This window comes from Homo sapiens, chromosome 5, assembly GCF_000001405.40.
Source record: "Homo sapiens chromosome 5, GRCh38.p14 Primary Assembly".
In the NCBI taxonomy this organism is placed as follows: domain Eukaryota; kingdom Metazoa; phylum Chordata; class Mammalia; order Primates; family Hominidae; genus Homo; species Homo sapiens.
The window spans coordinates 159,967,674-159,992,786 of NC_000005.10; the positions used below are offsets into that span (position 1 = coordinate 159,967,674).

General features: G+C 46.5%; 1 protein-coding gene across 4 annotated transcripts in view; it reads left to right on the plus strand.

Annotated features, from left to right (window-relative positions):
• Positions 1–21,532, plus strand: part of ADRA1B (adrenoceptor alpha 1B) — a 124,120-nt gene extending 102,588 nt beyond the window's left edge. For 3 of the 4 annotated variants that reach the window (XM_047416776.1, XM_011534435.2, NM_000679.4), the window contains one exon: positions 4,206–5,339. In XM_047416776.1, coding sequence (XP_047272732.1) covers positions 4,206–4,819 — 614 coding nt within the window. In that variant the 3' untranslated portion in view covers positions 4,820–5,339. Of the gene's footprint in view, positions 1–4,205; positions 5,340–17,997 lie in introns of those variants that run through there. The other variant, XM_006714821.4, reaches the window with a different exon arrangement.
• The last annotated feature ends 3,581 nt before the right edge of the window (positions 21,533–25,113 follow it).

A 25,113-nucleotide genomic window follows, 5' to 3' on the forward strand; every position in this document is an offset into this window, starting at 1 on the left:
CACTTGACCACACTGCCTAATCAGCCAAGGGCAAAGAATGGCCCTTGGCTTCTTCTTCTCAGAGGAATAAACAGTGTAATGAGCCCAAACCCAAAATGTGGCAGTAAATGCCCATGAGAAAAGTTGGCATCACCCCCTCACCTTTGGCTGAACACTTCTCAAGGCCATGGTCCTTGGAGGGTACATTGTAAGAAAACAGAGGCAAAAATCTAGCCCATCATTGTCCCTGACATGGTGCTTCCAGTGTGATGAACGTGAAGAACAACCAAAAAACGTATGCCGCGCAGACATAGGGGGAAAGTAAAATTTATGCCCCCTTCCTAATGCTACATGTGTTCTGTTGAATGGCCTCTTAGCTGCCATGGTGCAACACCACACCCCAAACTCATCTCTGCATTCCCACAGCTTGTCCTCATGCCTAGCACTTAGCAGGAGCTTAGTGTTTGTGGAACGGATGAATGAACGAACAAATGAATGGACATATAGCAAGTTAAATAACTATGACTATCATATACTGGTCTCTTGATCCAAAAAAATGGGACCAACAATAGTACCTTCCTCACTGGTACCTTCCGATTATAATTATTAAATAAGCTAGTGGTGTGAAGAGTTAGCACAGGACCTGCAGAGCACACACACAAGATAAATGCTGGCTATGATGAATCTTAGCTATTAGCATTATTGATATTTTTGTAACCTTTAAAAGAGCCAGTTTCTCAGGTTGCATCCCCATTAATCCATTTATCGCCTATTTCACAACCACCTTCAATGGGGTTGGCACCAAACAAAGTTATAATTTTTTCCTCAACAAACATGCTTTCCTGCTCTAGATCCTGTCCATGGTTTTGCCATGTTGGCCAGGATGGTCTCGAACTCCTGGTCTCAAGCGATCTGCCCACCTTCGCCTTCCAAAGTGCTGGGATTACAGGATCCCACCTCGGGCCATGGCTCCAGCCTCCATCCTGGGCCCTGTGTGTCCTCATGCAAAGTAATGTGCTGCCTGTATACACACTCATCCCTGTGTAATGCACAAGGCTTCGAAACTTTACCTCCCTCACTCTACTTCTTCCCCAAATTTTCTTTTTTGTAGAGACAGGAATCTCACTATGTTGCCCCGGCTGGTCTCAAAATCCTGGTCTCAAGTTATCCTCCTGCCTTGGCATCCCAAAACGCTGGGATTACAGACTTGAACCACCATGTCTGGCCCTCTCCAAAATTTATTCTCCAGTTTCCCATTTTGTCAAGGCCAGTTTCCTATGTTCTTCAGACTCAGTGACAGAAATAAGCCCATCCCTGTGAACAGAGACAACTCCCCACATCAGGGAATACTAGGTGCTCATACACCATAGTTGCATTTCAGCTGGGGCCTTCTGTACAGAGTCTTAATCCAAAAGAGTAGCTCCAATGGTGAGACCCAAATCTAATGGTGTGAGTCTTGTCACAAATCGGGTCACAAAATAGTGCCCTCCCTTGTCTCACCTCGACCAAACCTAGAAAGTAGCCCACTGCCTCATTTCCCCCAACCTAAAAAGAGGTCAGTACTTACACTTGGCACTTACATCCAGGTATGGATAACCCTCTTTCTAAGTTGAACTCCTGGCTGACTTACTCCTGCACCAGGAGCCCAGCCATTGCCCCCCAGCAGCCACTACTGAGTTACTGGGCAGAGAATTAGGAGTCAGGCTCCTGTATTTCTTCTTCTTGATTATTTGAGGTTTGAAACAGGCCAAATCTCAAATAATCAAGAAAGTGAAATGCTACAGAGAAGAAATTCAAGAGCAATCCAAAATCAAAGATGGGAATCCTTGTGGCATCTGTGCCAACCACCTCAGAGATTTCCAGCTACTCTCTAGGTCTTGGTGTCTCCACCTGCAAACTAGTTGGACTTGGCAGTTGCTAAGATCCCTCCCATTCAGATATGCTCTAAGAGTGTTGGCTCTTCTTTTCACAAATAGATTCAGTGATGATCCCAAAGACCAGGCCCTTGGGAAGCTCAGTCTGAGAAGTCAGGAATACAAAATATGCCACAAGCCAAGTGGCAGGGACAGAGACATGGTTAGAAGATACAAAATGTTCTAGAAAGTATTCCATTTTTTAAGATATTTAAATTTGTATATACAAGAGGAAAAATCTGAAAGTATACACACCAAAATATGGTATTTTGGCACTGCAGAGTTTTATATGTGCTTTTAAAATAGTTTCTCTTTTTGCATTTTTATATTTTCTCATCTTTACACAGAGTATTATTAATTGCATTTTTTTAAAAAAAAAACACATTTTTATTCAAATAGAATTTAGTCTAAATCCCAGATATATTACAAGCATGCTGTGTGACCTGGGGCAAGTCATTTAACCTCTCCAAGTTTCAGCTGACTTATATTTAAAATGGAAATTGTTTTTAATTTAATATTGCCATAAAATGTTTTGGGATCTCACATTCAGAGGGGTGAGTTAATCATGTTTCTTATTCATAATGTCTCATCATCATGAGTCTATGCCAGGCCTCTCTCTTATTATATTGATTTATTTCCTTTTATTCCCATTCCCATTTCCCTCTGCCTCCACCCCTAGGCATTCTGTCTTTAACATGTTTTTGTTAATTTGAATGTGTTTTTCCAAAATGCATGTGGTTGTTTGGTGAGCTACTTAAATGGTATTATGTCATAAATCTCATTCTATTTCCTACTTTTTTCACAAAGAACCATGTATTTCAGATCTTTCCACGTGGTCATGCAGACATGTCACCCTGGGCCTCTAAATGCTGCATAATATCTAAGAATGCATCTACCCCATTCTACTTTTCCCAGGGAGGGACATCCAGGTTGTCTCCCACCTCCTGTCACTACAAACAATATTGCCATGAGCCCCCTCATATATGAACCCTTATGGACTTGTGTGAAAATTCATTGAGATCTGTGTCCTGGAGCAAAATGGCTGGGTCACAAGGTGTATGTATACTTAGACCAAGTGCTAGCAGAGTCATCTCCAGGATGTGTGTACAGCCTGTGCCCCCACCAGCCATGAACAAAGCTCCTCGTGTCCCCACACCCCACACCCCTGTGTGAACTTGGAACTATGCAGCTTCCTAATTTTTGCCAGCCTATCAGGTATGTCCCTTTGTGGTTTTCGTTTTCGTTGTTGTTTTTGGAGAGACAGGGACTTGCTCTGACACCCAGGCTGGAGTGCAGTGCCACGATCATAGTTCACTGCAGCCTTGAACTCTTGGGCTCAAGGGATCCTCCTGCCTCAACCTCCCAAGTAGCTAGGACTACAGGCACGCACCAACACGCCTGGTTAATGCTTTCTTTTGTAGAGATGGGGTCCCCCTGTACTGCCCCGGCTGGTCTCAATCCCTTGGGCTCAAGTGATCCTCCTGCCTTGGTCTCCCAAAGTGCTGGGATTACAGGCATGAGCCACTGCACTCAGCCTCTTTGCGGTTTTTATTTGATTGCCTAATATTTTGATTATCTTTTCATATGTTCATTAGCCCTTGCGTTTCCTATTTTGTAAATTTCCTGCTACTTTCCATTGCCCATGTTTCTACTGGGAACACTTTTTCTTGCTGATTTGTAAGAGTTCCTCACATATTCTAAATATCAATCCCTTGACTGTTTTGGTCATTGTAAATATCTTCTCAGATTCTTGCCTCATGATTCGTCCTTTTGAAGTATTGTTTTTCTTCACCCCTAGATCAAAAAAATAGTCTTTTATGTTGTTCTCTTTTACCTTTAAAACGTTACCTTTCACATTTAGGTCTTTAATACACCTTCTGTTTTCCACGGAAACAAGTCGGCATCTACTTCATGACGTTTTGTGAAGGATAAACTAATATCGGGAAAGCACCTAGCACAGTGCCTGACCCAAAAGAGATGTGCAATTGTGGGCGATTATTGTTATCACTTAGATTGAAGGTGGCAAGTGCTGCCAGAGGAAACTATAGGAGCTTAGATGCTGTTTAACTAGATCAAGAAAGGTTTCATGGACAAAGGCGAAGTTATTGAGGCTGGCCCTAAAAATGAATGTAGGATTCATTGATTTTGAAATGCAAAGGGAAGTATTCCGGGCAGAGGAACCGGCTCGGGGAAAGGCCTGGCGGCAGGAACGCTGCAGGTTGACAATGTTGAGGAGAAGCATATTGGGGCGAGAGCTTGACTACTCACAAATTGCTGTCTTTCTGCCCGTGCCCACCCCCCTCCCCACTGCAGGCTCCTTGTTCTCCACCCTGAAGCCCCCCGACGCCGTGTTCAAGGTGGTGTTCTGGCTGGGCTACTTCAACAGCTGCCTCAACCCCATCATCTACCCATGCTCCAGCAAGGAGTTCAAGCGCGCTTTCGTGCGCATCCTCGGGTGCCAGTGCCGCGGCCGCGGCCGCCGCCGACGCCGCCGCCGCCGTCGCCTGGGCGGCTGCGCCTACACCTACCGGCCGTGGACGCGCGGCGGCTCGCTGGAGCGCTCGCAGTCGCGCAAGGACTCGCTGGACGACAGCGGCAGCTGCCTGAGCGGCAGCCAGCGGACCCTGCCCTCGGCCTCGCCGAGCCCGGGCTACCTGGGCCGCGGCGCGCCACCGCCAGTCGAGCTGTGCGCCTTCCCCGAGTGGAAGGCGCCCGGCGCCCTCCTGAGCCTGCCCGCGCCTGAGCCCCCCGGCCGCCGCGGCCGCCACGACTCGGGCCCGCTCTTCACCTTCAAGCTCCTGACCGAGCCCGAGAGCCCCGGGACCGACGGCGGCGCCAGCAACGGAGGCTGCGAGGCCGCGGCCGACGTGGCCAACGGGCAGCCGGGCTTCAAAAGCAACATGCCCCTGGCGCCCGGGCAGTTTTAGGGCCCCCGTGCGCAGCTTTCTTTCCCTGGGGAGGAAAACATCGTGGGGGGGAGGGGAGGGCGGGGCGGAGGGGGGAGGGGAGCGTCCACGCCGGGTAGACGCGCGCCCCAAGGGGAACCGGGGGGAGGGCCGGGGAGAGGGGCAGCTGCTTTTCTGGCAGGGGCATGGGTGCCAGGTACCACGCGGAAAGCCGGGCCGAGCATGCTGAGAGCCTGGGGGACCCGACGCCGCCGGGATTTACCTCTCTCTCTCCCTCTGTGTATATATAAACGAGTCCCTCTCTACTTGTATTTAACCGTGGGTGCACGTGAGTGTGACTGTGCGGTGTGCGTGTGTTCCGCTTGTGTGTGTGCGTGGGGCCGCCCTGTGAGGGCGCGGCGACTGTGCGCCCAGGAGGCAACCGGGGGCGTTGTGTGTGTCGTGACTTCGTACCTCTCAAGCCCCTCCTTGTACTTCACTGAAGGATGGCACTTTGGTGGGGTTGGAAACAAAGTCGACATTAAAGGTCATTTCTCCTGTTCGGCTTTGAGTGGTTTGTGGACGAGCGGCAGGCAGAGCCTTGCGTTTCCTCTTCCTTCCGCTTCGGATTTGACCCGGTCCTAGGTCTTAGGGTCCTTCGCTTTCCATTCCCCTGCCCTCCAGTCTCCACCCCAGAAGAGCCGCTCTCACCACGTCTTGAGGACAATTAGTGCTGGCTCCCCTAGGTCCCATTTACGCCTTTGCGGTTACTGACCTACAGGGCTGCACCAGTCTGGCCCTGTGGCTGAACGTGACGCCCTGGACTTGCCTAATGAATCCTGCTTGCCTGCTTTTGACCCTTAGCAGAATCTGAATCCTCCTGCGGCTCCTTCCTGCTGTGACCAACACTGAGCAATGTCTGGCTTGGTCCTGATCCCTAGACCCAACCCCAGCTGGGGTTCCCCGGCCAGTCCCCTAAATGGGCCTGTTTCCTGAGAGATGATGAAGCTCAGGCAGAGAGAGGGGCTGGTTCCCTTCCCCTCACCTTTGCATTCCCAGGCCAGCACTCCACTGATTGTTTGCCTGTGCCCACAGAACTCGAAAAGACATCCAAACTGCAGACGTTTCTGGATAAGATATGGATCCTTGGGGCCCAGCAACATACAGGGTCACAAGAACCCTCCCAAGCTCTGCTGACTTGTGACCCTGCCTGGAAAAAAGCACTGAGGAAGGTCACACAGAAAGGTGGAGCATTCTTTGGAGTCGATAACTTGGGTTCTAGTCTCAGTCCTACTACTGATTTATTGTATGAAGAGCAGAGACTTACTTCCCTCTCTGGATCTTGGTTCCCCATCTGTGTAATGGTGGAGTTGACTCTAAGGTCTTTGCTGCCTCTGAAAGCCCCTAGTTTGAAAAGAGAATAAAGGACACTGAGCAAAATCTGAAACATTTTTCTTCAGAGATGCAGAAAAGCCTAGGAGGAACGCTCTTCCCCCATCCCATCCCTTTTTTTCTTTCTACTTTGCTTTTCTAAGTTGAGCTTCATAATTTTGCAAATGGCAAGAACCTCTTCCAATAATATTAGCACATCGATCATTCATTCTGTAGGTGATTGAGAGAGAAAATACTTAAAGGGGAAAGAGCCAGTGATTGATGTAGTTGAAAAGTATAGGGGTGTCAGGTATGGCTGGATCCAGGGGCACAAACGAGATTGTCAAGTTACTCACAGTCTCTTACTCCTTCCTGTAGCTTCCATCTTTTAGTTCTGCTTATCTTTGTGTATTACCCTAGTTTCCTTATTGCAAATGCCTTCCTCATGACATTCTTACAACTTGATATCCCCAAAAGGAGAAACAAGATTGCCCAGCAGTTCTGTCAAAAAATGAAAAAGAAAAAGAAAACCAGCTGGGTGCAGTGGCTCACGCCTGTATCCCAGCACTTTGGGAGGCCGAGACGGGTGGATCACCTGAGGTCAGGAGTTCAAGACCAGCCTGGCCAACAGGGTGAAACCTCGTCTCTACTAAAAATACAAAAAATTAGCTGGGTGTGATGGTGGGCACCTGTAATCCCAGCTATTCGGGAGGCTGAGGCAGGAGAATCGCTTGAACCCAGGGGGCGGAGGTTGCAGTGGGCCGAAATCACACCATTGCACTCCAGCCTGGGTGACAAGAGCAAGACTCCATCAAAAAAAAAAAAAAAAATCCTAGGAAGCCAGAGATTCTGTATAACAAACCCCCTTAAGACTTTGATGAAGGCTATAAACTGTTTCCATAAAAACGCACATACCAAGGAAAATTACATTTTCATTCAATTTTAGATGCCGTACCCTTGTGTAAGATCTCACTATCCATGGTTTATATGCTCTGAACTGGATTTTAGTAATTTTCTAGGCCAACTCCCTCAATTTTACACATGGGGAGACTGAGGTAAATAATTTGACTGGGTCACACCAAAGCTGTAGAACCCAGGTCTTCTGCCTCTTTGTCCAGTACCTTTTACATTCCCCTGTGCTTTGTCCAGTACCTTTTACATTCCCCTCTGCTACCATCCTGTAGTTAAGTACATCCTCCAACAGAGAGCAGTCCTCTTCTTGCCTGAATAGAGAAAAGGGGGCCCTAGGAAAAGAAAAGCCCCAACTCCATTCCCGGAGAACAAGGGATCATTTGGGGAAGTTCTGAAAACATTGTGTTAGGATCACAAATCTTCTAACAAATCTTACGCAGAAATCTGATATAAGATCAGCCCATAGTGGAGTGGAGAGAAGACAGAGCCTCCTCAGCCTCCTCCTCTTCCTGAGACACTTGCTCTGGCCTGCCCCAATCACCCTGGGGTTCCACAGAATGATGTTTAAAAATCACTGGTCTAGTGTAAGCAAATGGAATTTGGAGTCAGTAGGGCCTTGGTTCAAGTCTTGGCTCTGCATGACCTTGGGCAGTTCATCTTGCCTCTTCTGGTCTAGCAAATGGACATGATCATCACAGCCCACCAGGACACACAAAGGATTCAACGAGATCATTGTAGTATAAACACCGAAATGCAAATCACTGGGCAGATGCAAGTTATAATTTGGACCTTGGATATTTGAAGCCACAAGGCACCAAAGGCATTTCCTGAGCTGCTCAGTTCTGATGATCTCATTCATTACTGGTGTTTGGAGGTCACCCAGGCAGCATAGAGAGGCGGTAGCAGCCTCCTGTTTCTTTCCAGAAGGAAGACTGGCCAAGTAGTGGCTTACATCCCCTAGAGGGTGCTAGGGTCCAGATCTGGCCCTAGCCAGAGTCTACATTTTGCTGGCCTTTCCAAGTCACTTCCTTGTAGCCAGGCTCTAGGAGGACCCAGAGTTCATCAAGAGCCCCTCAGGCAGACAGGTCCTCTCTGTTCTGATCTCCCAACTAGCAGCAAAGCAGCCCTACTATTTCCTCTCCAGCCACCCAGACTGCTGGGTCATTGTCACCACTGAAGCATGCACAGGAATAAATCTGCCAACCCCAGTCAAGAGGCCAGTGGCTTGGCAAGTGGAATACTAGTTAATTTTCCAGACCTGGACTCAAATTCCACCTCTGCCAGTTAGTAGCTGTGTGACATTGGGCAAGTTACATCATGGGTCTAAACCTCCATTTCCTTAACTATAAAATAGAGATAATAATACTAATTACTTCATAGGGACATTGGGGGATCAAATGAGATCATGAGGCTAAAACAGTTGACACCATGCCAGGCACTTGGTGAGCATCCCATGAACAGTAGCTATTAACAGAGGTAGTCATTCTTCAATTATTTACTTGGATGTATGAAATTTGGAAAATCTGGTTATAGAGACAAAACAATTCAGGTTTTTTTGGTCAGATTCCAGGTTTTAGGACTTAGGGTCCACCGTGAAGAAGAAAGACATAAATTTATCACGGAGTAAAAGAATTTTGTTGGCTGGGTGCGGTGGCTCACACCTGTAATCCCAGCACTTCGGGAGGCTGGGTGGATCATTTGAGGTGGGTGGATCATTTGAGGCCAGCAGTTGGAGAACAGCCTGGCCTACATGTGAAACCCTGTCTCTACTAAATATATGAAAATTAGCCAGGCGTGGTGGCATGCACCTGTAATCCCAGCTACTCGGGAGGCTAAGGCAGGTAATCGCCTGAACCTGGGAATCAGAGATTGCAGTGAGCCAAGATAACTCCCAGAACGAGTTATCTCACTGTCTCAAAAAAAAAAAAAAAAATTGTCCTACAGCATGAAGACGCGTTACTTAAAAAGGTCATCAGTCCAAACTAAAAATAACATTTAAACATTTAATAAAAGTTATGGAACATTCCAGGTGACAAAACCAAAATGGGTAAGGGAAGCATACATGTGTTAGGATTAGCACATCCTGTGTCAGAAGAGATGGAGGAGGGGACCAGGACAGTGGCCCTGAGCATGCACCTGGATTCAAGGCCCAGCTCTCCTACCCAAGTCAAGCACTTACCCTCTTGAGGCCAACCACTTTGTCTGTAAATTGGGGATGCAGTTAGCACCTACTTCACAAGGTTGGGATGAATAATAAATGAGACAAAATATGAAAGAGCTTGGCACAGAGTAGACACTATTTTTATTAACTATGGGGGACCTTGTATATCCTCCATTCCAGCAGTTCTCAACTTTTCCTGAATCAGCAGTTCCTTTAAGAATGTAATAAAAGCTAAAGAAAAATGAACATAGCAAGCTCAGACTTCACCTATTATTCCCACCCCGCTAAATCTCCCAAAGGACACATGGAACCCAGGTTATAAACTTTTCAACAAATATGGCTTCCTCAATATATAGAAGAAGCCAGAGAGAACATACAAGAGTGATGAATCTTGCCCCGTGTTAGACATGTGAACACAACACGGAAGGAGACCAAGACCCAGGCTCAGGGAACTCAGCCTGGGTGAGAGGCAGCAGGTCAGCAAGCAATCCCTTCAAGTACATCAAAGGTAGAGGGTGGCCCACTGGAGTCCTCACTTGGTGAGACCCCAGTGTCAGGCTCCATCTCCCATTGGAGGGATGGGGGTGATGGTGAAGTGCTCCAGGCTCTTGCAAGGAGGTTGCCCCCCAAGATTGGTTGGATTTGGAAGAATTAGCATCCTTCCACGGTTTTCCCAGCATATACCTGGACCTGCCTTTTGAAAGTTAAGAGCCAAGAATTTGACACTTTTTTCTTTAGCTTCCCGTTGACAGCCATTCCCTTGGGCAATGAGTGGCTGACTTCCAGCCGACTTGGCTGGAGTCAGAGGTTAAGTGTCCAAGCTAATTCACTGAAGTGTGGGTGTTGGGGTGAGGAGGGGGCACACAGGTATGACCTGCCCTTATTCCCTCTCTGATCTTCTTTCCTACCATCCCAGTTTGCTACTCTTCAAATGATAGGAGCAGGGGGAGCCTCACAACTCCCAGCTCAGGGACTTTGCACTTGTTGTCCCCTCTGCCTAGAGCCCCTTCTTTCCATGTGGCTTCCTCCATCACCTCCTTCTCCTCTTTGCTCAAATGTCACCTTCTCGGTGATCATCCGATTTCTCTGACTGTCCAGGTTAAAAGTGACTTCCCTACTGCCAACACTGTCCAGCACTCCCTATTGCCCTTTCCCACTTAATTTTTCTCCATAGTACTTATCACCACCTGACATATATTTTTTAAATTTATTTATATGTGTATTGTCTGTTTCCCCACACACACACTAGAAATGTATATTCCATGAGAGTGGGGATATTTGTCTGTTTTGCTCACTGTTGTGTATTCTCAGCACTTCATGTAGTACCTGACACATTGCAGGTGTTCACTAAATATTCTTGAGTGAATAAATGTGTACTACCCTGCCATGACTGTGAAAATGCTATAATAGCAGAATAGAGTGCTATGGGAAGCACATGGCAGGGGGTCCTACCTCTAAATTGATGGAGCAGTTCTGGTCAGGGAGGGCTTCCTGTAAGAAGTGGCATCTGATGAATGTCATCTGGGACTCATTGCCTGGCAACCCTGGTGTTTCCATAGTTAGTGCTCTCCCTTGTGCTCCTAAGTGGGGATGGAGTCTGAAGGCCTGCCGTCTGATTCTGGCTCAGCCCCTAAGTCCCTGGCCCTCTCTAGGGCTCTGTCTATTATCTGTACTAAGCCAGAGACAATAGCTAAGCTCTGTGGATCTGTCACTCCAGCTTTTGTTCTCCCCTCCTCGTTGCACAGTCCTCAGATAAGCTATCTTTGGAGACAACTTCATTGGGATTAGTAAGACAAACAGCTTTGGCCCTTGCTCATGGCCTTATTCAGAGAAACAGCATCTTCACAAGAGATTTACAAAACTGCTTGGGAGCAGAGGAAAACGCTAAAACCTAGTGAATGCTCTCAAATATTGTGTCAGCCACTACTGTCAGAAGCATGCTATGTCCTCACCAAACAGCACCTGAAACCCAATCAAGCACGGACACCCGTACAGTACTTCATGCACTCATTTGTTTTTTCATTCATTCATTCTACAAGCTATTCTTAAACACCTACACAAAGCTTGGAGCCAAGGACTTGAGCAAACCCTGTCTTTGCTCTCATGAAAATTTCATTCTGAAAGGGGAGCTTGTACAGTCATTCAAAATGGCCAGACGTAGTGGCTCACAACTGTAATCTCAGCACTTTGGGAGGCCGAGGCAAGAGGATTGCTTGAGGCCAGTACTTTGAGACCAGCCTGGGCAACACAGTAAGACCCTATCTCTACAAAAAAAAATTAATTTAGAAAAACCTTACATACAAGGTAGAAAGACGTTTGTGTAACACACGAGTTAAGTATTAGAACCATAGAATCAGCTAGAACTGGGTGACAATCCTGATTTTCCCATTTATTAGTTGTGTCTTCTTGGGCATGTCTCCTATCCTCTGAGAGGGTCAGTTTTCTTATTCTGGAAAATGAGAATAATACCTATCTTAAAAGGTTGTCATGAAGATCAGTTACACTTGGGATGTAGCATGTTTAGTACAGTACCTGGCACATGGTACTTGTTCAGTAGATGGAAGTTATTAAGCACCATTGTAGGCATACCAATAAAGGGCTTTGGGAATCCAAGGGTTCATGTCCATTTGCACAGAATCAGAAAGACTTCATGGAGGAAGTGGCATCTGAGATGGGTCTAAAAGATGTGGCTGGCTGGGCATGGTGGCTCACACCTGTAATCCCAACACTTTGGAGGCCGTGGAGGGCGGATCACCGGAGGTCAGGAGTTCGAGACCAGACTGGCCAACATGGTGAAACCCCATCTCTACTAAAAATACAAAAATCAGCTAGGCGTGGTGGCACCTGCCTGTAAACTCAGCTACTCTGGAGGCTGAGGCAGGAGAGTCACTTGAACCTGGGAGAAGAAAGTTGCAGTGAGCCAAGATCGTGCCACTGTACTCCAGCCTGGGCAACAGAGCAAGACTCCGTCAAAAGAAAAAAAAAACATGTGGCCAAGTAGAGAGGGCAAGAAGGAGAGCAGAGGAGACAAAGCATGATGAGGAAGAGGAGAAGATGGGGCTGGGAAAGGAAGCCAGAGGCAGATCAAGGCAGCAGAAGGAGCCCCACCAATGTAAGCGGACCATCGTGTGTGGAGAGCCTAAGATTTGCCATAGAAGAGGGAAAGTCGTGTTTCATGGGGTCCACTGGGCAGCAAAAGAGAAAGGTGGAAGGAGGGACTCCAGGCTAGGAGGGTGGTTAGGGGGCCCTGACAACTGGCCAGAAATGAGGATTCAAGCAGGGAGTTTCAAGGTGAGATCTGTGAAAGGTGGCTGGATCGGTGGTCACAGAACTGACCCAAGAGTTTCCATGTCCATAGAGTTGCCCCATTACGGTTTTCATGTGACAGGCTGAACAGGTACAATAATCTCCACCCGAAAGAGGAGGAAAATGACACTCTAAAAGATTTCTTTCTTAGGTCACATAGCTAGTGTGAGGGAGAGCCCGAACAAGACTCCACACTGCCTGGCCCCAAATGAGAAATGTTTTCTCTTACTAGATCTTTCTATGTGACAGATGTGTTCCAACCCCAGATTATGATGCCCAAAACATAGCTCAGATGAGTAGTAGTACAGCCTGGTCATTAGGACTTGGGCTTGAGGTCAGAAAGAACTGCACTGAAATCCTGGTTCTGCTACTTGCCAGCTATGTGGTCCCAGACAGGTGATTTAACCTCTCTCAGCCTCCGTTTCCTGATTGGTAAGACTGGCAGAATAATAGAATCTTCTTCACAAAGTTGCTATGAGAAATAAATGAGCCAATGCATGGAATTGAGAAGTACTGGGCATATAGGAAATGCTCAACTAATAGCCAACAGTATTAGTGATTAGCATTATCTAGTGTGAGGAAACGGGGAAAATGGAGACTTAGAATTAGCCATCAGGAAAGCGCAAACCTCTCTGAACCAGGGGTAAGAGGTATTAGAGGACTCTCTCTCGAGGGTAGATTATGAGATGCTTCAACTCTCCTGAGATAAGTACTATTTTGGGAGACCTCACAATAAAAAAAACCAGAAGAAAACAAATCATAAATCCAAATCATCTGAGCAAGGGCAGATACTAACTGGGGCTAATGAGCAAATGTTGGGGGCAAAACAAGGTCCAGGAGCTGGACTCATGAAGAGACTTCTAGGCCAGGGGCTCTCAAACTTTCCAACTGCAACCCACAGGATGAAATACATTTTACATTACCACCCAGTATACATAGAGAAATACAGATATGCAGATATAGATACAGACATAGATCAAGATTTCTGAATCCCGGCACTATTGAAATTTTGATTTGGAGAATTACTTGTTGGGCAGGGGTGGGCACTTTTTGCAAATTGTTGAATGTCTAGCAGCATCCCTGACCTCTACCTACTAGATGCTAGCAGCATCTCCCACCATCAGCTGTGACAATCAAAATTGTCTCCAGCCAAATGCCTCCCGGGGGGTAAAATAGCCCCCAATTGAAAACCTCTGATGGATAGACACGTAAGAAACAAAAGTTTCATGAAGGTTACCCATATTTACAAAATGTACTCTAATAGTTCCCATTTTGTATTATTAGATGTCACTTTTTGTTTGTTTGCTTGTTTTAAGATGGAATCTCACTCTGTCACCCAGCCTGGAGTGCAGTGACGCGATCTCGGCTCACTGCAGGCTCCGCCTTCCAGGTTCACACCATTCTCCTGCCTCAGCCTCCCGAATAGCTGGGACTACAGGCACCCACCACCACGCCCAGCTTATTTTTTCTATTTTTTAGTAGAGATGGGGTTTCACCACGTTAGCCAGGATGGTCTCGATCTCCTGACCTTGTGATCCGCCCGCCTCGGCCTCCCAAAGTGCTGGGATTACAGACGTGAGCTACCGCACCCAGCCTAGATGTCACTTTTTTAAAAGTGCTAATTTGGGGCTGGGCACGGTGACTCACGCCTGTAATCCCCAGTGATGCATACTTAGAAAGGTCTGGTGGTTTTAAAATATTTCTGCAGATTCTTTGGCACTCCTGTCATTAAGAGGTGAAGCCTAATCACCCATGCCTTGCATGTAATGCAGCAGAAGTGACCTGTGGGACTTCCAAAGTTACATAAGGTGATTCTGTTTCCACCTGTCTTTCTTTCTCGGAATGCTCACCCTTGGAACCCATCCATCATTCTATGAGAAAGTTCAAGCCACATGGAGATGTTCCTACCGGCTAAGGTCCCGGCCAACAGTCAGCCTCAACTGTCAGACATGTAAATAACTCCTAAGTGAGAATCAACTAGCTGAGCCCAGCCAATCCCCATAATGGTGATGAAAGTAACAATAATAAATGACTGGACACCTAACAGGTGCCCTAGAAAAGTCCATTCTGTCTTGACAGAGCTAATGAAATGATGGGAAATATTTGAGGTCTGGTATCTTCTGGTCTTGACTTGCAAAGGAGTCAGAGGGCATAAAGCCAGGAAGAGATGTGCTTTCTTGTTTGACTTTTTTCCCATCCAATTTAGGTAGGCAACTTTGTGTCTCGGGGACCTCCAAAACTTAATATCAACAACCCAGAACACTGGGACTAAAACCACAATGTTAGAACAACACATCAATGAGGTAGACATTATTACTGTCTCATTTTTAGGCTTAGAAAAGTCAAGGTAATTAGTCCAAGATAACATGGTTTCTAGGTGGCAGAGCCAGGATTTGAGTCATGCAGCCAACCAACCTTGTTCTGTGCACCCCCAGCCTGGACAATCCTCCTTTGTACCTGGAAGGAAGCACCTCTCATCCTCCTGCTCCTCCAAGCTCCCACCTACCTCTATCCTCTTTCTGGTCTCTAGCTTTTAGAAAACAAAAGCCAGGAAAATTGCAAGTTTCTCCTGCTTCCCTCCCTCCGCAACACCTCACTTGAAGGAGGGAGGCACGAAGCCTGCTACCTGATTGAATCCAGGGAAAGGATGGGTGGGGGCAGAAATATGAATGAATATCACAAAATATTATCCAGTCACTCACTACCTAAATGTTTCATCAGTCCCTATCCGAAGGCAGTTACTAAGATGCTCTGAACGTGCGTGCACACACATGCAGGACGTGGCTCTGACTCAATCTGATGTGGATGATGTTCAGTTAATCCTGCTGAAGGCCACTCCTCAAAATCTTATGTAGTGCAGGGATTGATGAGGACGCACCTGCTGCAGAATTCAGGGTTGAAAGTAACCACCTTCCTTCCCCTTCAACCTGACCCAGGATGAGCCCAAAGGTTTCTCATGAAGGGGTTCCAAAGGCAGAGGCTGGTGGCTTCCCCACAGGACAGAGTGAGCAGGACTTCCCTATCCCAACCAGATCCCTCTGCTGCTTCAGAAAGCCCCAAGGGCCAGCTAGTCCAGGGCTGTGATCTGTCCAAGAGAATACCCTGGACAAGGCTTTCCTCTCCACCATCCCCCATCCCCACCCGGAAAACTCCTGCAGAGAGATGTCAGAGAGCACCAGATGCCTTCTGTTAGGATTCACCCCATTACAAGCCTTAAACCCCATGTGTTCTGGCACCACGGTCTCTCACTCTCATTACTAAGGTAACAGAGACAGGTATTCCTTCAACACCCGCTCACCGCGTGCCATTGGGGCCTCTTCTCAGCCAGACACGCTTAAGATACAGTGATGAACAACGATCTTCATCACCGTCTTAGCCGTGGGAATGTGGCAAGGGTGCCAGCCGAACCGAAATTAGGATTTGAAGTTTGATTGTGTCTGCTGCATTAGTGACTCCCAGGTCCTCCCAATCATCTGTTTGCATAAAATGGCATGCATGGGTCACAGGATTCTGCAAGAAGTGGAATTTTGCAGGTGGGTCTCTGGGGGCAGAGAGACAAGATTTTTTTTTCTAGCATCACTGATCTCTCCTTTTCTTCCTCTGTTGACCCATGTTGGCTTCCAGTTACCAAACTACTCTGGTATTTCCCCTAATTAAAGCACTCCACGTTTATACTCCCTGACTCCACTTTCCCTCCCCGCGTTCTTGCTGCCATCCACTGAAGATGGCTTTCATCCTTACTTCTCCTTGAGAACCCTGCTTGTCAAGGTCATTAAGGGCCTTGATGCTGCCAGAGCCAAGGCCTCACCTTCCTGCACCTCTCAGCAACATTTGGTGTGACTGATACACTGCTTTTTATTTTTGAGCACTTCTTTCATACTGCTTCCAACCTCGCTGACCACTCCTTCTCAGTGGAGAAACTTCTCCTCTTCCCAATCTCTAAATGTTGAGGTTTCTAGGACTCAGTCCTTAGGCCTTTCTCTTCACTCCCTGGTTACCTCCTCCACTCCCATGACTTTAAGTTTATCCACAATGGTGACTCCCAGATTATGTCACCAGCTCAGGCTTTTCATAGGCATCTCAAACTTAACATGTTCCAAACTGACCTTTTGTTTCTTTCCCACAATGGCTGCTCCCCCATCTCAGGAAATGGACCAATGTTCCCCTGATTGCACAAAATAAAAAATCCTAGAGCATTCTTGACTTCTGTCTGACCCTTAAACCCCACATCAAGCATCAGAAGCTGCCCAGAATCCATCTATTTTGCACCACCTCCACTGCCACCACCACTGCATCTTCTCCAGCCTGAACAACTGCAGTTGCCTCCTAACTAACCTCTGTGCTTCCACCTCAGAAAACTGTCAATTTGCAGCTCCTCCCCAGCTACCAGAATGATCTCTTTGAAAAGTAAATGAGGCCGGACGTGGTAGCTCACGCCTGTAATCCTAGCACTTTGAGAGGCCGAGGTGGGTGGATCACCTGAGGTCAGGAGTTTGAGGCCAACCTGGCCAACATGGCGATACCCCATCCCTACTAAAAATACAAAAAAAAAAAAAAAATTAGCCAGGCATGGTGGCGAGTGTCTACAATCCCAGCTACTTGGGAGGCTGAGGCAGGAGAATTGCTTGAACCTGGGGGGCAGAGGTTACAGTGAGGATCAGGCCACATCACTCCAGCCTAGGCAAAAGAGCAAAACTCTATCTCAAAAAAAAAAAAAAGAAAAGAAAAGTAAATGAGACTATGCCTCTGCTGGAACCCTCCAGTGATTTCCCATCACAATAAAATCCACACTTTGCAATGGTCTGCCCCTCTCTGATTGCTCTCCCACCTCCTCTTCCGACACTACCCCCTCCCTCACTCCACTTCAGCCACATGGGTCCCCTTAATGAACACACCAGGGACAGTCCCTTCTTAGGGCCTTTGCTCTTGCTGTTTCCTCTGCCTGTGCTCATTCCAGATATTTACAGGTTTCACACCCTTCAGGACTCAATAAGTGACCCCCTAAAAGAGGCCCTGATTACCCATTCTAAAACAGATCATCTGTCACTCTGCAGCTCTTTACCTGGTTTTACCTTTTAATTATCACATGTAATGAACTGATCTATTATTTATTTCTTTATGGGTTATCTCCTCCATTGGAATATGAAATCCACCTTAGCAAGTACTTTAATTACTTTGGTTACTTCTGGATTCCTGTATCAGGGAATAATAACTGGCACACAGCAGGCACTCCTTAAATACTTATTGAATGAATGAATGATGTCTTAATATCTGGTCTCTGGCCAGGCCCCAAGTAGTAGCATGCTAAAGCTGACTTGTACCGGCTCAGAGCAGTTTATAAGCATCTCTGTTCAACTTTGTGTTCAGTGACATTGTACCAACAGCTTGAAATATGCTGATGGGAATATGTACACCACAGAAATTGACAAACACTACACATCAGGGCTCCTTTTTCTTTTCTTTTTTGTAGAGCTATTTACCAGCACACCAAAGGGTCTGGAAAAGGACTGGAAATAATCTTGGAAGAAACTCTTTCCTCAAAGGACTCTGGATCACTGAGAGGCCAAGCAGTGCTGCCTCTGGGACCTGGTGACAAAGCCTGATCCTGCATTGCGAAGAGGAGCATTCTGCTTGGAACAAGGCACTGTGGGACCTGAAGGGAAGAGAGTTCCGTCTAGCCCTTGAGGCTTTGCAACTTTGGGAGGGCTGGGACATAGCATAGCCCTGAAGGAGAAGGAGAGCTCACAGAAGCACCAGAAGCATCAGCAGCAGTGACTACTCTTTAATGCAACTTGCTGAAAGCAGTTATTAAGAAGGTGGTGGGAAGAAAGGAACCCACAGGGCCCCCAGAAATATCTAGGGAGCCTTTTTAAGAGGGCCTGAGTTTCACAGGTGAGGACTAATAGACAGATTTTCTTTTAAGAGACAATGCTCACCCAGGCTGGTATGCAGTGACACAGTCATAGTTCACTGCAGCCTCGAACTCCTGGCTCAAGGGATCCTCTCACCTCGGCCTCCCAAGTAGCTGGGACTACAGGTGCATGCCACCATGATCTTCTAATCTTTAAAATTTGTAGAGACAGAGCCCCACTATGTTGCCTAGGCATATCTCAAACTACTGGCCTCAAGTGATCCTCCTGCCTTGGCCTCCCAAAGCACTGGGATTACAGGTGTAAGCCAGTATATCCAACCTAGACAGAAAATATTGATTATTCACACTCACGTGACCTAATTTGCACCCTCTGACTTGTGAGACTAGAGAGAGTCATCTTGGAAAAGAGGTGTGTGCTCTGAGGCTGGCTCTTTTATTTGAACCGACAGCTTTTAGTACCAAGAGCTGGAGCTGTGATTCTCAAACTCAGAGAGGAGAAGAATCACTCAGTGAGCTGATTAAAAATACCGACTCACAGTCACCTCCAGCCCCGTCTAACGGATTTAGCAGATAGAAATAAGACCCAGTAATCTGCGTTTTAAAGAAATGATACAGTTGGTCCATGGACCAGATATTGAGAAGCATTGCACAGATGGTCAGTGACTCAGGAGGGCTCGATTTACGATCTATCCACTTTACGATGGGTTTTTGGAGACGTTAGCCCCATCGTAATTCCAGGGGCATGGGTGATCCAGCTTACATTGCCGGGTAAGGGCTAGGTTTTACTCCCCCCTCAACGGCGCCTACTGTCTTAACAGGGTCCACTTTGCTAAACACCGAGTTGGAAAAGCAGCTTCCTCTCTTTCCCAATCTCTGATGGTGCTGCTTCCAGGTGTAACTTCTACCTGCCCTCTGCCTTAAGGGTCCCTAGAACCCAGGATGGCTCCAGAGAAAGTAAGCTTGTCATCGACCCGTCACTTCCCAGGTGGTTAACGTCCACACCCTGCCCCCAGCGGCGGGGGAGCCGGGCCTACGGGCTAAAGGACGGTGTTGTAAGAAGCTGGACGAGCCCGGTTCCAGAAACCAAACAGCAGTTGTTATCATGCCTTTTAAATCACGCGTAGAGGTTTCAGTTTCTTCCTCTGCAGGCCCGTAAATATTTGCCTTCGGGTTTCTGTGTTTTCTGCCGTTGCCAGGAGCTCCGATCCTCCTGCGGCGGGGGCGCCCAGGTGCGCGGGTCTCTCCTGCGGGCTCAGCGGGCCGGCGCCGCGGCGTCTCCAGCAGAGCGCAGCAAAGAAGACGAAGCCTCCTGGGGCCTTTCCTCGCCGCCTGGAGCGGGGCATCCTTCCTCCTTACGTGCAGAGACTGGGAAGCAGCTCTTTAGACACTGCAGTGACCGAGCCCGCTCCACGCCCCTTTCCCCTGAGCAGGTGCTTGACGTGGGGCAAGCTCGGCGTTGAGGTGGACCCGCGCGCCACCCGCTGGCCAACGCGCCTAAGCGACAGGAGTGCAAAGAAACGAGGCTGCTTGGCAATTCAGCTGGTGCGGCCCTGCGGCACTTCCCTTATTCCTTCATAGATGCAGTCAGATATTCTAGAATTCTAGGTTAGGAATGCTTTAACCTGGGGTCCGTGCGCTGGCTTCAGGGAATCTGGGAGCTCTCTAAAATGCTATAAACAATGTAATATTTTTCTGGAAAAGGGGTGCACACTTTTCATGAGTCTGACTAATTTTATATGGTCTATGGACCAAGTGCCAGGCAATGTGCAAGCCATTGGTGGTAAGTAGTGATCAAGCAGACGTGTCGCTTCTCCTCGTGGACTTTGTAGTCTTTGTGGTAGGCTGAAGAATGCCCCCCCTCGGCCGGCCGCCCAAAATATGTTCACATCCTAATCCCTGGAACCTGTGAATGTTACCCGTTATGGCAAAGGGGACTTTGCAGATCTAATCAAGTTAAGGATCGTGAGATGGGGGGATTAGCCTGGATTATCCTGGTGGGCCTGATATCACAAGGGGTCTTATAAGAGGAACACAAAAGGAAACAGACAGAAGACAATGTGACAACAGAAGCAGGAGAACAAAGGGACGGACATTTTAAGATGCCACACTGCTGACTTTGAAGATGGGAGACTTTGAAGATGGGGAAAGGAGGCCGTGAGCCAAAGGATGTGGGCAGACTCTGAAAGCTTGAAAGGTCAAGGAAACAGCTTCTCCCCAGGAGCCTCGGGAAAGAATCCCACTGCTGACACCTTGACTTTAGCCCAGTAAAACTGACTGTAGACTTCTGACCTCCAGAACTGCAAGAGAATCAATATGTTTGTTGCTTTATGCCACTATTTTGTAATGCTTTGTTACAGCAGCTTTAGGAAGCTAATATGCATCTCAGCAGGTGTCAGACTCTAAAAGTGGTAAGAGACCACAGTCCTTTACAATGCTGAGATTCTCTGTATCACTGGCCCTTCCCCTCTCCAGGAGGAGACAACCAAGAGACAGAAAGTCCAACTGACACTACAGAAGTAGATTTACTGAACTCACCCATGCCATAGAGGTACGTCTACACCTGAGTCTCTTTCCTAGAGAGTTTCAGAACTAGTTAGGGAGATAAAATTCAAATTACATCTGTGGCCGGGCATGGTGGTGCATGCCTGCAATCCCAACAGTTTAGGAGGCTGAATGGGAGGATCACTTGAGCCCAGGAACTTGAGACCAGCCTGGACAACATAGCAAGACCCCATCTCTACAAAAAAAATTTTAAAAATTAGCCAGGTTTGGTGATATGCACCTATATTCCTAGCTACTCAGGAGACTAAAACAGGAGGATTACTTGAGGCCATACATTGATGGCCATTTGGGCTGCTTTCTACCTTTTGGCTATTGTGAATAATGCTGCTATGAGGATGGGCATATAAATATCTCTTCCAGACACTGCTTTCAATTCTTTTGGATATATGCCTAGAAATGGATTTTTTTGAGGAACTCCAATACTGTTTTCCACAGTGGCTGCACATTTTACATTCCCACCAACAGTGCACAGGGGTTCCAATTTTCACCACCTCTTCACCAACTTTGTTATTTTTCTGGTGTTTGGTTTTTTTGTTTCTTTGTTTGTTTGTTTGTTTTTGAGATGGAGTCTCGCTCTGTCGCCCAGGCTGGAGTGCAGTAGTGTGATCTCGGCTCACTGCAACCTCTGCCTCCTGGGTTCACAACATTCTCCTGCCTCAGCCTCCCGAGTAGCTGGGACTACAGGTTCCCACCACCACGCTTGGCTAATTTTTTGTTTTTTAGTAGAGACGGGGTTTCACTGTGTTAGCCAGGATGGTCTCGATCTCCTGACCTCGTGATCCACCCGCCTAGGCCTCCCAAAGTGCTGGGATTACAGGCGTGAGCCACCGCACTCTGGTGTTTGTTTTATAGTAAGCACTCTAATGGGTGTGAGATGATACCTCACAGAGATTCTGATTTGCATTTCCCTAATCATTAGTGATGTGGAGCATCTTTTCATGTGCTTATTGGACATTTACATATTTTCTTTGGAAAAACATTTATTCAAGTCCTTTGCTCATTTTTTAAATCAACTTATTTGTGTTTGTTGTTGATTTTCAAGTAAGTCTTTTAAGTCAGTTTTTTTGGGGGGGTAAGATTTATATAAAATAAAATTCACTATATAAAATGAATTTCACTATTTTAAGTGTAAGATTTTAAGTGTATGATAGGTTTTGACAAATGTATGCAATCATATAACCAACACCACAATCAAAATACAGAACATTTTCATCACCCCAAAAATCTCTCTCAGGCCCCTGTGCTGTTAAACTCCTCTTCCTTCATCAGCCCTGACAACCACTAATCTCCCCTATAGTTTTACCTTTCCCAAATGTCTTATAAATGAAATCATACCCTATGTATCCTTCTATGTCTGGCTTTCTTCCACTTAAAATAATGCCTTTGAGATTCATCCATGTTGTTGTATGTGTCAGTAATTCATTCATTTTTATCAGTGAGTGGTATTCCAGTGTATGGATATACTACAATTTGTTTATTAATTCACCAGTTTATGGACATTAGATTGTAAATAAAGGTGCCATAAACATTTGCATACAGGTCTTCCTTTCTCTTGAATGAATACCTAGGAGTCAGATTGCTGGGTTGTATGGTAAGTGTATGTTTAATTTTATAAAAGCTGCCAAACTGCCAGGTGCAGTGGCTCACGCCTGTAATCTCAGCACTTTGGGAGGCCAAGGCAGGCGGATCACCTGACTTCAGGAGTTCTAGACCAACCTGGCCAACATGGTGAAACCCCGTCTCTACTAAAAATACAAAAAAATTAGCCAGGCATGGTGGCAGGTGCCTGTAATCCCAGCTACTTGGGAGGCTGGGGCAGGAGAATCACTTGAACCTGGGAGGTGGAAGTTGCAGTGAGCCCAGATCATGTCACTGCACTCCAGCCTGGGCAACAGAGCCAGACTCCATCTTAAAAACAAAACAAAACAAAAAAAACCCTGCCAAACTGTTTTCCAAAGTTGCTGTGCTATTTCATGTTTCTCCAAACAATGCATGAGATTTCTGGCTGCTCCACATCCTTAGTAACACCTAGTATATTATTCTGTTTCATTTTTAGTCATTCTAATTGGTTTGTAGTGCTCTCTTGTGGCTTTAATTTGTATTTCCCTAAAGCCTAATAATGTTGAACATCTTTTTATGTGCTTATTTGCCCGCTGTACATCTTTGGTGATGTGTCTGTTTAAATCTTTTGCTCATTTTTATTGGCAATTTTGCTCTTCTTATTGAGATGTAAGTTATTTATTTACATTATGTGTAATTCTTTTAACGTATATATGCTTTGCAAATATTTTCTCCCAGTCTTTTCGTTTCTCCTGTCTTTTCATTTCTTTAATAGTGTCTTCTGAAAAGCAGGCATATTTAATTTCAATGAAGTGCACACTTTTTATTGTCCTATAAGTAATTTTTTTATTTAAAAAGAATGCAGGCTGGGTGTGGTGGCTCACGCCTATAATCCTAACACTTCAGGAGGCCAAGGTGGGAGGATTGCTTGAGTCCAGGAGTTTGAGATTAGCCTAGGCAATGTAGGGAGACTCTGTCTCTATAAAAAATTTAAAAATTAGCCTGGCATAGTGGTGCGCACCTGTAGTCCCAGCTACTTGGGAGGCTGAGTCCAGATAATTGCTTGAGCCCAGGAGTTGGGGGCTGTAGTGAGCCATGATTGTGCCACTGCATTCCAGCCTGGCTGACAGAGCCAGACCCTGTCCAAAAAAAAAGGAAAGCAAAAAACCCTGCTTGCTTGATGAAGCTTGTGGGGAGAAACAGTTGGTCTTTCAGTTAAGGAATGCAGAGTAAGGAGAAATTAGAGTGAGCCTGCATTGGACCAAACGGAGAGGAGAGGAGACAATTGTTTTAGGTTCAAACAACTTCCAAGCCCTCATTGTCTCTCTCTGCCTCATAAGCGGGGGAAAGTGGAGCTCCCCCACATAATCAATTAATGGCGTGAATAAATGTATAATTGCAGACAAGAGTAAGTATTACAAAGGAGAGATGCACAGTGCTCTGAGGGCTGATCACCAAGTCCCAGGCCTAGTTGGAGGTGGGGAGGGAGGAGATGTTCAGGGGTGACTTTCCTGAGGGAATGGAGCTTGAGCTGAGCTTTTTTATTTTTATTGTTTTAGAGATGGGGGTCCCACTATGTTGCCCAGGCTGGCCTTGAACTCCTGGGCTCAAGCAGTTCTCCTGCCTCAGCCTCCCAAGTAGCTGCTACTATAGGTGTGCACCATTATGCCTGGATTGAGCTGAGCTTTAGAGGTGGGGTGGGAAGGGAGCATTGCAGTCAGAGGAAACAATTCAGGCAGTGGCTTTTGCCGGAGGGTGCTTTCTGAAAGGCCAGTGTGGATGGTACTGATTGAAGGAGAGAGAGAGAGTCATAAGGAGGCTGGGAAGGTAGGCAGATCTTGAGAGTTTTGGGTGTATTTTTGTCTTCATCCTAAGAAATAGGGAGGAAAATTTCCAGTTTTGCAGGTGATGTGATCCAGGTGGGCATTTTGGAAAGCTCAATCTGGTTGGGGGTGGAGGGATGATGGATGAGAGAGGGAGTTTGTGCTGCATTAAAGTTAATTTATCCTCCTCACTACGGTGGGTGTAATTTTTTTTTAATGAGAACAAGTCTTGACAATGATGTGGAGAAATTAGAATCCTTGCACACTGCTGATGGGGATGTAAAATGGCAAATCCACTACAAAAAAACATTTTGGCAGTTCTTCAATCAGTTAAACATAGAATAAGCATTTGACCCAGCAATTCCACTCCTAGGTATATCCCCAAAGGAACTGCAAACAGGTTACTCAAAAACTTACACACAAAAGTTCATAGCATCTGTATTCATAGTAGCCAAAAGGTAGAAACAATTCAAATGTCCATCAACTGATAAAGGGGTTTTTTAAATGAGGTATATCCATACAATGGAATATTATTTAGCCATAAAACAGAAAGAAGTACTGATGTATGCCACAACATAAACAAATCTTGAAAGAAGAAGCCAAACACAAAAGCCTACATGTTGTAGGATCCCATTTATGTGAAATATCCAGATTAAATCTATAAAAACAGAAAGCAAATGAGTGGTTGCCACAGCGGGGGAAAGGGAGAAATGAGGAATGACTTAATAGGTACAGAATTTATTTTTGGAGTGATAAAAATGTTCTGGGA